The sequence below is a fragment of the Homo sapiens genome, chromosome 4, assembly GCF_000001405.40.
Source record: "Homo sapiens chromosome 4, GRCh38.p14 Primary Assembly".
NCBI classification, from domain to species: domain Eukaryota; kingdom Metazoa; phylum Chordata; class Mammalia; order Primates; family Hominidae; genus Homo; species Homo sapiens.
Genome location: NC_000004.12, coordinates 1498709 through 1513943, shown reverse-complemented (window position 1 = coordinate 1513943; position 15235 = coordinate 1498709). Strand labels below are relative to the sequence as shown.

At 59.3% G+C, this 15235-nt stretch overlaps 1 long non-coding RNA gene across 2 annotated transcripts, besides 1 other annotated feature; it reads left to right on the top strand.

The window, feature by feature from the left end:
* Nucleotides 1239–1889: an enhancer, noted in NCBI's record as "H3K27ac-H3K4me1 hESC enhancer chr4:1513782-1514432 (GRCh37/hg19 assembly coordinates)". NCBI's record gives its function as "activates a minimal SCP1, AML or CMV promoter by ChIP-STARR-seq in primed H9 embryonic stem cells {active_cell/tissue: H9 hESC(primed)}" and the evidence as "EXISTENCE:reporter gene assay evidence [ECO:0000049][PMID:30033119]".
* Nucleotides 10392–12953, top strand: LOC105374348 (uncharacterized). 2 transcript variants are annotated; one of them, XR_925050.2, is made up of 3 exons: nucleotides 10392–10889; nucleotides 11176–11364; nucleotides 12719–12953. It is a non-coding gene; the product is annotated as an uncharacterized LOC105374348 (long non-coding RNA). The 2 variants fall into 2 exon arrangements; XR_925049.2 differs by having other exon boundaries at nucleotides 11003–11364.
* Nucleotides 12954–15235: the final 2282 nt, after the last annotated feature.

The window sequence follows — 15235 nt, the reverse complement described above, 5'->3', positions numbered from 1 at the left end:
AAACCGAGCTGAGGCCAAGTCTGTCGAACTCCAGCTGCTCCAAGGCTCAGGACAGGCGTGTGCTGGCCCATGTTCCCTGGAGGGCTCTTTAGTCCAAGATGGAAGAGTATGGCCACCCAGCTGGGACCAGCAAAGAGAGGTAGGAAGGGTGGGGTGATGAGGGAAGAGCTTCCTCCCAGCCTCACCCTTGAGCCTCAAGGACTGCTTTCCAGAGACCCGGCTCAGGCAGCCCTCACTCCCCAGACCCCCTCCATGTTCTGGTCCTATAAAGAAGGCCGGGCTCAGGCAGCCCTCACTCCTCAGTCCCCCTCGCTGTTCTGGTCCTATAAAGAAGGCCGGAAGCCCGGGCCCTGCCGGGGTCAGCAGGGGTGCCTGTGTGGGCAGCCTGGGGTGTGGGGAGCCAGACCATTTGTGAGTGTCCAGGCTGAACATGACGTTCAGTGTCCAGAGAGGCTGCAGGCGACGGCGCCATGATGGGAGAAGAGGCTGGCGGGCAGGGACTTGGAGGGCGGGGACCTCCAGGCGGGCTGCGGCAGCGGGAAGGGGCCCCAGCGGCTCCGGCGCCGCGCACGGGAGGGGAGGGCCCGCCGCCAGGTGGCGCCTCGCCCTGCTCCACCGATGTGGCCGCGGCTCCCAGCTCCCGGCGGCCCGGCCCCGCCGCCTCCCCACGGCCGCACCTTGCACCGGCACCGCGGATGGGCCCAGTTTCTACGGCAGCGGCGGTCGGCAGTCGGGCTGGGGCTGCCAGCGCGGGCCGCACCCTAGGGCGCACCCCGCTCATGCGCTCCACAGCGCCGCGTGCCCTGCGGCCGTGCTGGGACCCTCCTGGGGCGGTGCTGGGACCCTCCTGGGCGGTGCTGGGACCCTCCTGGGCGGTGCTGGGACCCTCCTGGGCGGTGCTGGGCGGGTCGGGGGGAGGGGGTGCGGGGGCCGGGCTGGGGCCGTGCTGGGCTATGCTGGGGCCGTCCTGGAGCTGTCCTGGGGCCCTGCTGGGCGGCGTTGGGCTGTCCTGGGCTATGCAGGGGACGTCCTGGGGCGGTGCAGGAGCCGTGCTGGGGCCGGGGCTGGACCCGTGCTGGGCTGTCCAAGGCTCGGGGACTGCCCGCACTGGCGCTGCCCCAGGGACCTGGTCCCTGACCCCTGGCTTCCCCGCTGAAGCCCGCCTGGCAGGCCTGTCGCCCCCACGGACATCGGCCCGGACCTGTGGCGCGCTCGGTCCCCATCAGGCCTGACAGTGTGGCCCTTTACCCAGGGCCGCTAATTGATAACACTTAATTAATCTGCCCAGGAGAGAGATCAAATGGGGCTGGGTCCCGGCGGCCGTGTATTGACCCGGTTATTTCAATTAACCGCGGGGCCAGGGACTGCTCTGCTGAGCCCACCCCAGCTGCCCCCGGCCCGATCCCCGATCTGTCTGCGGCCCAGGCCCCACCCCGGCGCCCCGCTCGGGGTCCATGGCCGGCAGCTCCAGGACCGCAAGGCTGCGCCTAAAGGAGCTGCTGCTTGCAATTAACTGCTTTATTTAGGGCATTTTTTTTTTCTTCAAACAGCAATTAGATTTCTGTAGGCTTTGGAGAAAGCAAATGACCAGCAGCAAGACACCTTATAAATCAGGCCCTGAGGGTGGGCGAAGCCCCACTTTGGCAGGTGGCTGGCTGCCCTGCAGGGGCGTGGATGGGAGGGCTGCGCCCAGAACTCCCTCGGGGCCTGTGTGGGCTGGAGCCACGGTCTCTGCCCTGGAAAGGAGAGTTTCGGGAGGCCTTGGGTGCTGGCACCCTATTAAATTGCAAAGCACCCACCCTCCCCTGTCCCGCTACCCTGCCCTTCCTCCCTCATTCCCTCTCACCTCCCCCATCCACCCCCCACCCTTCCTCTCCTCCCTCTCTCCTTCGCCTTCCCTCTCCTCCCCTACTCCCTTCCTCCCTATGCCCGCTCTGTTCCTCCTCCCTATGGAGCTATGATTGGACAGCCTAGGCCATGTGCCCATGTGTGGACCAATTACTATAGTTAGACAGATGGGGCACCATGATTGGACAGCCTAGGCCATGTGTCTGTCCCTGGACCAATCACTGTGGTTAGACATATGGAGCACTATGATTGGATGGCCTGGGCCATGTGCCCACTCCTGGACCAATCACTGTGGTCGTAAAGATGGGGTACTGTGATTGGACAGCTTAGGCCATGTGCCTGGCCCTAGACCAATCCCTGCGGTGGGAGAGATGGGGCACTGTGATTGGCGGCCCTCCTGACGGGGCTGGGGGACCGCTCTGGGGCGGGAGCCACAGCATCCAATGGGGCAGGGGTCGAGGCCGCCCCAGCTGCCTTGATGGCGGTCGTGGGACCCTGGGCGCTGAGCTGGGGCGCGGGCAGCCTGAGTCTGTTAGTCTCTGAGGCCCAGCCACGGAGGCCGCGCTCCGGAACCCTTGAAAACCTCGGGCCCAGCGACAGCCAGTCCCAGCTCCGGGATGGCCATTCCTGTTCTGTCCCCCTTCCTTTCCGGTTCCCAAGTGGCTGTGGTCTCCGGAGGCCCAGTGCAGACTCCTGGTGGCAGGGACTGGGGCGGAGAGCAGGCAGCGACTGCGGAATGGGAACAGGGCTTCCTCTTTGTCGAAGTCAAAATAAAACGTAGATGAATCTCTATGTTTCGTGTGTTTTATTTGAGAGGAAGGAATTGCAGTTCGGGGCACACACTCAGACCAGGGGCGCTCCCCATCTGAGAATAAAAACAAGGCTGCAGCTCAGGAAACAGGAAGGTCACCTGTGGCCCCGAGGACGTCGGGCATTGGAAAAGCTCGGGCCCGCAAGTCCCCACTGCTGGGCCAGGCCGGGCAAAGTCGGCCCCGGAGTTGCGGCCCTGATCGCAGTTGCTGCAGATGAGGCTGCCTTCAGGTGACAGCAGTTTCAGCAGCTGGACTTGCAGAGAATCACATTCCTAGAGGAATGTCTTGCACCCCGAGTGCTTTTCCCTCAGCCTCCTACTCTCATGTAGTTGGGTGTGACAAGAATGACCCAATTTGTAAGATCAACTTTCACAGGGTGAGGAAAATGTTCTGGAATTAGGCCGCGATGATGGTTTCACAACCTTATAAATACACTAAAAATCACAGAATTGCATGCTTTAAAATGGTTAATGTCATGTTATAGTTCAATTTGAAAAAGCAGTGGAAAATTTCTTACGAATTAATACTAAGAGAAACAACCCAATTCAAAACACACCAAAGATTTGAGGAGACGTTCTTACCAGAGAAGATACACAGCTGGTAAGTGAATACATGAAAAGATGCTCGACATTGCTAATTATCAGGAAAACGCAGGTTAAAACCGCACAAAGCTGCCACTGTGCACCTATTGGAGCAGCTGAAATTACAAAGACCAACCTTGCCAAGTGCAGGTGAGGACACGGGGGAGTGTGCGTGCATCGCGGTGGGGAGTAAAGTCGAACCGCCAGTTTAGAAACCAGCTCGGCTGTTTCTTTAAAAATTACATATACATCTACCCTACAATTTCACCATTCCACTCCTAGGCATTTACCCAGGGGAAATGAAAGTGCATGTCCACACAAAGACTTATACTTGAAGTGCATTGAACTTTATCTGTAACAGCCCCAAACTGGAACTACCCATATGTCCATCAAAAGGTGAATTGTAAACTGTATCACTGTGTATCATAACCACACAATGGAGTACTGCTCAGCTCAGCAACAAAACAGAACTACTGTTACTCAAGACGACATGAATGGATTACAAAATAATTGTGCTGCGTGAGAGAAGCCAGAGGGGAAAAGTGTACATTTGTACAAAATTCTAGACAGTGAAACTTAATCTACAGTGACTAAAGATGAGTGGTTGCCGGGCTCAGAGGAAAGGTGGAGAGGAGGTGTCAGGAAGGGACAGAAATGACTTCTGGGGGTGACCAGAATGTTTGTGTCCTGGGTCCTGGGGATGTTCTTGCTGGCATGGACGCATGGACACATGTCAAAACCCATAACATTGTACATGTTAAATATGTGAGGTTTGTTGTATGCCAATGATACTTTGATAAAGCTGTTTTTTTAAAAGGAGCCCATCCCTGGGGCTGCCCTGCTGTCCCTGGTCAGCTGCTCGTGTCCCTTCATAGGACAGGCAGGTGAGCACTGGATGAACCCGCAGCCCTTGGAAGGCCTTGAGCCTCTCCACTCCTCCCTGGCACTGAAGCTGGGCCTCCCTCCCGAGCCCCAAAAGCTAGGGGATGTGCAGATACCGAGATAAATGAATCCCAGCCAGCAGGCATGGGCAGGGAACACCCCGGGGACGAGGGGCAGCACGGAGCCCACAGAGGATGGGGGCAGCCAGGACTGCACAGTGGCTGAGACGGGGGAGGGTCAGGTCTGGTGTGTGGGCCTCTGGGGCAGGGCCTGGGCTCTGAGCATGGTCTCCCCCTTCCACTATCCATGCCCAGCCCCTGATGCCTGTGCCCTGCCTGCTGTCTCCACCTCCAGGGTGCCACGGATGTGGCCCAGGGCCGGCCTCGAGCCTCAGGTCTGCTACTTGCCCTGGGGGAGTATATACCTCACTCCCTGGCCTCAGTTTCCCTGCTTTTAAAAGGAGACCCCATGGGCTGTCTGCTCTTGACCAATGGGAGGCAAGCAAGCTGCTGCTGGAGGGAACATCTTGTTTGAGGCTGCCACGGTGCTCCAGAGACAGCCCCTGTGCTGCTGTCCCTCCAGGTGGAGTGCAGAGGAGGCCCGGAGGCCCAGGTACCCAGGAGCTCCCTGAGGAAGGGAGGGAGGGAGAGCCCTAAACGGAGCTCCCCCACTTCTTCCTCCCTCACCCCCATCTGCCCAGAGAAGATGGGCGTGCATCTCCCTCTCCCCAGGGCCCACCAATCAGGCTCTTCTCTTCCCAAATCCACTCCCCATCCCAGGCGACCGACCCAATCCCCGAGCCTCAGGCGACCGACCCAATCCCCGAGCCTGGAGAGACCTCGCTGGGACACCCTGCCTGGTTCAGCCACCTGCAGCTGTGCCCCACCCTTCAGTGGCGGCCCGCTGGGTGGTCCTGTCTGCATCTGAGAAGCTGAACTTTTCCAGCTGCCAGCCTGCCACAGCCCAGGGAAACAGGATTGCCCCAGACAGAGAACAGAGACACAAAGTGTGGAAAATTGGAGTGACAGCGCTGCACTGATTGCTTGTTGAATGAGTGAGCGAGCAGTTTGCAGGGAAATTTACATTTATATAGTGCATTTCACCAGGCTGGGTCAGGGCCACTGGCCAGATACCCGTGCCACAGCTGCTGGGGCCACACACCTGGGCCCCAGGAGGCTCCCCCATGAGCCTGGGAGGACCCAGGGTGGGCAGAGCCCGGCTGGGCATGGGGGGTGACTCCACATGGCTCTCTCAGGCTCCCCCTATGCACCGCTGCCTGCGGTCCAGGGACCTGTGCCCTTCCAGCACCTCCCACAGCTCTTCCCCCACCCTGCCCTGTCCCTGCTGACCCTCCCATGCCCCCCCACCCCAAGATAACAAGCCTCTCTAGAGCACGCCAGCCTCCCGCCTCTGCTGCCCCTCAACCTCAACTACGTGACCTCACATCCCTCACAGACGCCGGCCCGGCCCTAGCCACCCTGGGGACAGCGAGGACCTGCAAGGGCTGTTTCTCGGCTCAGGGGCAGACGCCATGCCAGTGCCAGCACTTACCACTTGGGCGTCCTGCAGTTAGGAAGAGAGAGTCAGGTGCTGCTACAGATGGAATCACCCCCCCAATCCTGGGATTCCTGTGTTGAAGACCTGACCCCCAGTGCCAGGCTACCTGGAGACAGGGACCCTGAGGGACTGTCATCTGAAGTGATGGGTGTCCCTGCAAGGAGAGAGAGACCTCAGGAGGTGAGGACCCAGTGAGAAGATGCCACCTACAAGCCAGAGAGAGAGGCCTCAGGAGAAACCAAACCTGCTGGCACTGGAGTCTTGGACTTCCAGCCTCCAGAAGTGTGGGAAAATAAATGTGTGTGTGTGAGCTGCCCAGTGTGCTATTTCCATCATGGCAGCGAGCTGACTAACACAGGAGTCCATGTGGAAAAGTGGAGGGGAAATGGCCATTTTTAAACGGATGATGTGGCTGTATCCCTGCAAAATCAACTGAAAACCACCTATAGCAAAAGCGTACGTCAGTAAGGAGGCTGGGAACAAAATAAATAAGCCCAAATCCACAACAACCAGAAAGAAAGAAAATTATAAAATGCTTATGAAGCTGGCCAGATGGCAGTGGCTCACAACTGTAATCCTAGTACTTTGGGAGGCTGAGGCAGGCAGATTGCTTGAGCCCAGGAGTTTGAGACCAGCCTGGGCAACATGGCAAAGCCCCATCTCTACCAAAAATACGAAAACTAGCTGGGTGTGGTGGCGTGCATTTGTGGTCCCAGCTACTTGGGAGGCCGAGGTGGGAGGAGGCAGGAGAATTGCTTGAGCCTGGGAGGTGGAGGTTGCAGTGAGCTGAGACTGCGCCATTGCACTCCAGCCTGGGAACAGAGCAAGACCTTGTCTCAAAAAGGAGAAAAATAAATAAATAAATAACTTAGTAAAAGATGTGAGCCCTGTACCAAGAAAGCTTTCAAGTTCTGCTGGGGGACACAAAAAGCAGCCCATCCCAGGATGGAAAGACTAAACGGAGCTTCATCCCTGAAGTCATTGCCAATAAAAAAACAACAGGATCATTCAGAACCAGACAAGCTGAGTCTGAAGTTGTGCAGAAAGTAAGCTTGCAAGAACAGCGGGAAGCCCAGAGAAGGCACGCGTGGGCTTCGGCATCCAGATAGGAGAATAGATCACAGAGCTACAGGGAGCCGCCATGGCACAAAGGACTCAGCACAAAGCCCAGCAGTGAGTCTACAAAAGAGAATACGTGCTGCAGGCACCTTCTCAACGGAGAAAGCAGAAGATGGAGTGAGTGCCTGGTGACCCCTTGGTACCTAGTTCACTTGCAATCAAATTAAACTATAGACGTAATCTCAGAGGAGACAAAACTTTTCTATGCAAACAAACACTATAAAAGATGGATACATTTGACTAATGTAAAATCATGTATTTCTTTTTTTTTTTTTTTTTTCATTTTTGAGACAGAGTCCTGTTCCCGGGCTGGAATGCAGTGGCATGATTGCTCACTGCAACCTCCGCCTCCCGAGTTCAAGCGATTCTCTTGCCTCAACCTCCCAAGTAACTGGGATTACAGGTGCCAGCTACCACGCCCAGCTCATTTTTGTATTTTTAGTAAAGATGAAGTTTCGCCAAGTTGGCCATGCTGGTCTCGAACTCCTGACCTCAAGTGATCCGACCGTCTGGACTCCCACAGTGTTGGGATTACAGGTGTGAGTCACTGCACCCAGCCAAAATCACGTATTTCTAAATGGCAGAAGTTGCCTTCCCAGGAGAAAAAGACGAACGGGGGCGGGGGGATTGCAACACGTGAGAGGAGTAAAAGGCTAATGTCCTCAAAAAACTCTCCCAAAAAGAAAGAAAGAGACGGCGATGGAAGAGCAAACCAGCATAGGCAGGAGTGCAGATGCAGGGTCTGGACCCCCCACAGTGGGACGGGATGTCTCGCCCCTGCTCCCCTCTGGAGTCCCACCCCTCTGAGTCTATCCCACTCAGGACCCCCAAGTCTCCCAGTCTTTGGCCCTGCCGAAGCCATCTCTGTCCTCTCAGGGCACAGCACGTTCATGGGGGAGGGTTAAGCCAGAATTGTCAACCTGAGAGCAGGGGGAGGGTGGCACGGACGCCTCCTGAGCCCCTATTATATCCCTCCCAGGCAGCACCAGGCACGTAAATGCTGGAGCTCCTGCCCCTGTGCGCAGCTGATGTTCTCCGAGGCCTCGTGGGGACACTGTTCTGGAAGCAACGCCAGCCTCCATGGCTGAGGCTGTTCCAGGCAGCCCTCCTGGGGGGACAGAGGCCCTCGGGACCCTGCTTCTGGAGGGCACAGGGGCCTCTGGCCAGGGAGCTGCCCCATCCCCAGAAGCCAGCCCTGTTCCCCAGGGTGCCGCCTGCAGCTGCTGTCAGCTCTGCGAGTGTTTTACAGAAAACACACTTTGATGAACTGAGTAGACAGGATGCCTTCGCACCTCACTGGGGTGTCCCTCAATTCTGCCAGCACAGGCGGTGGGCACTGCAGCAGGATGCCTGGCACCCAGTCGGGTACTGCCCCAGAAGTGGCATTTTTCTTGGGAGGCTATGGAGGACAACAGAGCCTGTGGCATTTGCATGTTTTGTGACACTTCTCATGCCAGGGCTGTGCACGGGGGAGAAAAGCAAAGGGAGCCGGGTCTCAGTCTCACCTGCAGTAATCCTGGCCCACGAGGCCGCTGCCAGGTCAGTGACAGGGCAGGGGGCAGGTGGCATTTCCTCTTGCTATGGCTGAATCTGAAGGTGCAACCAGTATCCAGAAAGCCCAGCTGAGGCCCACGTTGGAAAAATGAGAAAAAAGGGAGTTTTCTCCACAGTGGTCACAAGGATACTCTAAACATATGAAAATACGCTCCCCTCTTCTCCTGGCCCTCTGGGACCCGGACAGAGCCCCTCTCCTGAGTCTCGTCCGCCAAGGCTGATCTGACCTACTCCGTGGGGGCTGGCTTCCACCCCACTGCACTCCGAGAGGCTGTGGCTCCAGTCCCCCAGGGAGGGGTCAGCCCAAAGGCCCCACCAGGCCTGGCCCCAGTGCCCTGCTGCCAGCCATGACATCAGGAGGCAGGGCAGGGGGAAAAACTGGGGGGCCTGCGGACCCGGGGCCTCCCTGCTCCAATTGCCCTGTGGCCTGTGACTTCACCTTCGGGTGTGTGCTGCCCACTCTAGTGCCCCTCTCCAGCACCCCAGTACTCCCAGTACCCACGTGCCAGTGGCCCCAGAGGCCACTCTACAGCAACCCCAGTGCCCACTCTCCACTCCTTCAGTACCCACCCCCCAGTGACTCTAGTGCCCCCACAGTGACACCAGTGCCCACTTTCTCAGTGAGCTAGGAGGCAGAACTCAACTCCAGAGGTGGGGCTTGGACACTGGACCAAATCGAGGACTAGCCACAACAGATCTGGGGCAGAAGCATCTCCCAATAAGACACACTCACCAGTGTGTCATGTCAGTCACCACTGCCATGGCAAGGACCAGAAGTTACCGCCCCTTTCCATGGCAACCACTGACAGCCCAGATGTCACCGCCCTCATTCTGGAGAATTCTGCATAAACCACCCCTTAATTTGCATATCATTAAAAGTGGGCATAATGAGCACAGAGCTGCATCTGAGCCGCCACTCTGGATGCACTGCCCATGCGAAGCCCTGGTCTGCGAGGAGGGGCGCCTCTGCCTCTGCTGTGACCCCTGCCCTTGGATTCTTTCCTGGGGGAAGCCAAGAACCCTCCCAAGTTATGGCCTCGACTTTGGGGCTTGCCCGTCCTGCATCACCAATTCCCCCCCCACCCCCTGCAATGGCCCCAGCACCCCCAGTGGTCACCTCACAGCGACCAGCGTGCCCACTCCTCTTCCCACTCCAGTGCCTCCACCTCATGGCGCCAGCGCCCACCCTCCTGTGCCCCTTCCCCATGTTCCCCAGATCCCACCTTCTGGAGCTCCCCTGTGCCCCCATCCCAATGCCCGCAGTGTCCACTGCCCAGTGACCCCACCCCAAGGACCCCAGGAGCCTCCAGGTCCCAGCTCCAGGTCCAGGCCTCCTGTGGCCACATGGACAGCACAGCCTGGCAGCCACCTTGTCTTCACCCTGGGGCATTCTTCCTGGGGGGAGGGCAGAGGTCAACCAGAAGTCAGGCAGAGGTCAGCTAGAGGTCAAGGTGACCCTGGTGGAGGCCCCTCCCACCCGCTGAGCTGCAGAAGTCCCTGCCCACCAAGTGAGCCGTGATTGGCTCAAATCAGAGGCGGTGCATGGCCCCAGCTCTGAGGATTGGCTGAGGCACACCTGACCTCGGCCCATCCAATCAGATGAGGGCAGGCCGTGGTGAGGCCGAGGGTGGAGGATGCAGCTGCCCCAGGCTGGACACTGGCACTGAGGCCTTCGAGGGCGACGGGACTGGGCCGGCCCAGGGACCCTGTGCCCTCATTCCTGGTGCCTCTCAGGCCAGCCTGGGCTCCTGCAGAAGCGCAGCAGCCCCTCGGGCCCGTGCGAGTGGGCTGTGGGAGGAGGGCGCCGGCCGAGGGGCGAACAGGAGGACCCCGGGGAGCCGGGGGAGCCCGGGGTGTCCGGGTGATCGAGTCCTGGGGCTGCCGGGGCCTTAGGGGACTTTCGGGGCCGGTCACCCGCGGGTGGGTCCTGGCGTGCAGGGGCCGCAGGCTTGCAGGCAGCGGTTTGGGTGAGGGTGTGGGGCTGGGGGCAGCCGCTGAGGGTGGTCCCCGCCCTGCCCGGGGAGGAGCGCGGCTGCCCCGGGGCCCCCCACGCCACTGTGGCGGGAGTTTTTAATGCCACCCACGAGATATCAATCTCTGCTCCCTCCAAGACAAATGCCGTGTCAGGCCGGCTGCCTGGACCCCTTATTTATCACCATTTAATATATATTAAAGCGCTCACACCTCTGATTGCCAAAACAAACAAAAAAAAACTGCATCAATCACAGGCCGGCAACAGTCGGGAGGCAGGTGGGGCGCTCAGGGTGTCCCCTCCGGCCCAAACTCCCTTGGCCTCCCTGCCCTAGCAGAGGCCCGGTATCCTCCTTCGGCCCAGGTCACCCCCTACCACGTGCAGCGATGCCCCGTGGGCAGGCCAGCTCTCCCCACTCCCTCCCCCAGCGAAGCCATCGCGGTGCAGAGGACACAAGGCACAGAGGGCTTGGCCTGTAGCCAGCAAGAGTTCAAGAAGACACGGCGGCCTGGCACCACTTCCTGACAGATCTCCGAACCCATCACGGCCACCCTGTCCCAGCAGGTACTGCCTGCTGAGACTGCCTAGGCACAGGTGGTCTGGGGCTTAGGGACCCCCAGTTCAGGGAGCCCCCTACCTCACTCAAGGCGGGGCCTGGTTCTGGCTTTCCTTTCCAGGGAGCTGGGGCCCCGTGGCCTCCGTGTTAGGATGGGGAAACGGCATAGTTGTGATGGACCCAGGGCAGACTCTTTCACCTGGAGAAACGGACCCAATTCCAGGGAAATGTTGAAATACAGAGCAGCGATTGTAGTCGGAGACGGTGGGGAGTGGACAGACCTTTTCCTGTCAGGTGCGTTGGCCGCCGTGGACTTGCGAATGTGGGCAATAGAGACAAGACTGAACGTAGCCGGAGGCGGAGCCAGGATCCTCGGGGCACAGGCGGTGCATGGAGACCCATAAATGGAGAAACTGAGGCCTGGGCCAGGCAGGCTCACACCCTGATGGGCAGCCTGTACATCAACGGTCCCTCCACCCCCAGGTGGGGACGCCCCTGGCCCTGTCCCCACCCATCCCCTGCCTCTGCCACCATCCCTCTCCGTCACCACTCCCCCCTCCCATCTCATCATGAGACTCTCTTGGTCCCCTGGGGGTGGAGCCCTTGGTAGCCCCCAGGAGTGGGGGCTGCTGGGACTGCAGTGGGAGGGGAGGGGCATGGGCTCTGGCCACTAAATCAGTCCACGCTTGTCACCAGCTCTGGGCCGCGGGAGCCGCCCGAGCGGAAATAACAAATGGCTGTCATTGTGGAGCCAAAAACCTGTGATTATAATTATCACATCCTCAGTGACCTTGCGTAAACTTTAATCCCTCTCCAACGGAGCATTTAAATAGCCTTCGCTGCGTGCCACAGAGCCCCCCGGCGCGCCTGCCGTGCCCCCAGCTCCTGCAGCTGGCTCCCAGGGAGCAGGGACACCTCTGGAGCCACCATGTCTGCCATGGAGCTGTTCACAGGCACTGGGCTGGGGGTGCCTGTGGCCAACTTCTTATTGGGCTGGGGCAGCAGGTGGGGGAACAGGGTGGGGGTCGGCCAGGGAGGTGGGGAGCCAGGCACTGCCTCCGGGATCCTCTGACTCACTGCATCCTGTGGCCTGGTCCTGGGGTGAGGACAGGGGGTCGGAGGCCACGAGCTCTCCATCCCCTCGCCCTCCAGAGGCTGGGCACGTAGCCCACCAGCCAGCTTCTCCTGGAGGGCCCCTGGAAGTCCCTCAGTTGGCCTCGGGCAGCACCCTATTCCCCTGTTCCTTGGCCAGCCTTGGAGTGGTCCGGGCCTGAGTGGGCTGAAGGGTCCTCGTGCAGCCTCAAGGTTCTGGCCTGGGAGACCCTGGGGGTCCCTCAAGAGTGGCTCCCCTCTAAGAATGTGGCAGGATGGGGACCCTTGGGGCCTGGGACTGTGGTCCCCCACTGACTCAGTGTGGCTGTTCCAGGTGGGCATCCACACCTGGAGTCCCACAAGGGTCGTGAGTGGTCGGGATTGAAATGGTGGCTTCCCTGTAGCCTTCCAGGGCCCCCAGCACACACCCCTTCCCAGGCCAGGGAGAGCTCTGGGGCCGAGCTGGGCCTCCAGGCCAGTCTCCTGATCACACACGGGCTTTGGACTCGAGGCCCAGAGGGCCAGGTGTCAGTGACCTTCGTGGTGCCCCAGTAGGCCCAGACCCAGCCCTGTCCCTCTCCAGCCCCTGACATGAGTGTGCCCTTGCTTGGGGAGGTGCTGCAGGAGGGACTGAAAACTCTCTGAACTCCTCCCTGGCCCTCTGGAGGCAAGGGGCTTGCGGCAGAAGCCCCCAGGGCTCGGCTGGTGCCCACTCCCTTTCTCCCCACTCCTCTCTTCCCTGCAGGAGGAATTGCCCCTTTTCAATATCACTTCTCTGCAAGATGTCGGAGCCATGGGGTCAAACGTGCCAAGGACGTTCCTGCAGGCTTCGCTCAGGGCAGGGGCAGAGGGGCACTCGATGCCAGTCACCAAAGGCACTGACAAGTGCTGTTGTAAAGAACATGACTTGGTTTGAGTCCTGAGTTCTCCAGATCAGTGTGAGCAGGAGCCCCTTGCTTTCGAAGCACCCCCATTACCTTCCCGGGGTTGGAGGAGGGGTGGAACTTCCTTCTCCCCTCCTGGGGTCACACCCCGTGCCAGGTTCTGGGATAGCCAAGACCTGGCAGACGAGGCCTCTGCCCTCCCTAGAGCTGCCTGGCATCAATCAGGTCATGCCAAGTGCGGGTGTGCACCGTGAGGGTGGCTGGAGCCTTGAGCGGTCGGGGGGTCCTGAGGGAGTCGGCCAAGCAGAGGTGTGGATGCAGAGGGGACGTGACCAGCACACGGGCAGGAAGGGGATCCCAGGCAGAGGGAGCATCTCATCTCTGAGAGGGAGAGGTGGGTGCTAGGACTAGTCAGGCCAGGCCCTCTCCTGGGCCAGTCTGCCTCTCCTGCCCTCACCTCCCATGCCCACACGCACACCTGTCCCCAGCTGCTGATGCGGGTGGCGGGCTGGGCAGGTGGGTTGCAGATCAGGAAGCAGTCACAGTGGCCTCCTGCTGTCAGGGTGTCCATCAGGCAGGTAGGGGGGTCCGTGGGGCACCCAGGTGCTATACCCGTGCCCCCTGGTGGTTCCTCAGCCTGGCTTCCACTCACAGCCTGCAGGTCACAGCCTGTCCCCAAGGGGCTCCCCTACTCTGCCCCAGTCCCAGTGCTAGGCTCTTCCCAGAACCAGGCCCCCGCCTACACGGTCCCCCAGCTACAGGTGCGGATCTCAGTGTGTCTCCCGGGTAAATCCCAGCTCATCCCTTAGATCCTATAGTTATCCCCCAGGAAGGTGTCCCCACCCCTACCCTGAGCACCCAGCACGGCCTTGTCCCCAGGGTGGCAGGAGGATGGCAGGGGCAGGAGAAAGCCACCAGGGAGCTCTCCCTGCAAGCCCAGCCTTGCACACAGCTGGAGCTCAGAGACACACCCAGGGTGGGACTGAGACCTCTGGATGGTGGTATCGAGGTGCCTTCATGGGGTGATTGGGGGACAGGCCAGGCCCTGCACAGCTGCACACACATTGGCACATGCAAACACACACATACGATGCCTATATACTCATGCACATGGACACACGTATGCACAGTTACACACAAACACGAGTATGGTAACAAGAGCACACCTGAGTACTTGGACACACACGAACACAAGTGCATGCGCACACACACATGCACACTCAGACATGTACACTCACCGTGCTGCGAGTGTGAAGGGCTGGGCCCAGGCATGGGTGCTGACTGTGGAGCAGGGGCCTGGCTGGTCTGGGACAGCAGCTGAGTCTGCAGATGGGGACAGGCCACCAATAGCAGAGGGGCTTGGAGGGTCCAGGCCCAGCCCTGAGGAGCCCCAGAGCCCAGGGGTGGAGGAAGCCGGGCCTGCCTCAAGGCTGGAACAACTGTGACCAGCGGTGGCCTGTCCCAGGGGGAGGCGTGGCCACCAGGGCCAGTCCAAGGGGTGGAGGTCCAGGAATGGAGCTCCTGAGAGCCGCTGGCCTGTACACCACCCTTTCAGGGGCCTCAACTGGCCAGGCTGCCAGAGGCAGGTGTGGTCAGGGGGCCGCTCAGCACTGGGATGGGGATGGAGGCCTTGACACACACTGTGGGGCCCAAACCATAGGCCTTAGGGGTGGAAACAACCTCAGCTGGTTCCAGGCAGAGGTTGTTCATCCTTCCACCTACCTGCCACCAATTCATGATCCTCTCTCCTTTTATCCACCGTGCGCTCATACCATCTGTTCGCCCCTTATACATTCATCCATCAAACTATAAATTTATCCATTCACTCATTCATTAGCTCATCAGCTCTTCCGTATGTCTATCTATTCACCTGTCCATCCGCCCACCAAGCCTCCATCCACCTCTGTATATTCATATATCCGTCCACCTGCTCGTTCATCAATTCATACACTTACCCATGCATCCATTTCTCCATCACTCAATTGGCCCATTTATGTGACAGGGGCTGGAGTCTGGTGCCCATGAGGCGATGCCTGCCTTCACCAGGAGCACATACCTTCACCCAGGTCCAGGTGCAGAGCCTTTAATGGGAGAATGAGGAACTTCTCTTTTTGGTTATCCTGGATTTCAGTGAGTGAAGAAGTAAGGTCAGCAGCTGAGATTGAAGAGTAAGCAGAGGGTGTTAGCAGTTTAAGGAAAGAAGAGACTGGTGAGGGGAGAAGTGTCCCTGAAAGCAAGAGTGCGAGTGAGGAAGAGAAAAGGAGCAGGATTGCTGGGCAGTGTTAAGCAGCCCCCGGAGGCTCGTGGCCGTAGATTTACCCAAGTTCAGCATGATTGTGTGTTTGTGTGTTTGTGTGATTGTGTGTTTGTGTGCAGCC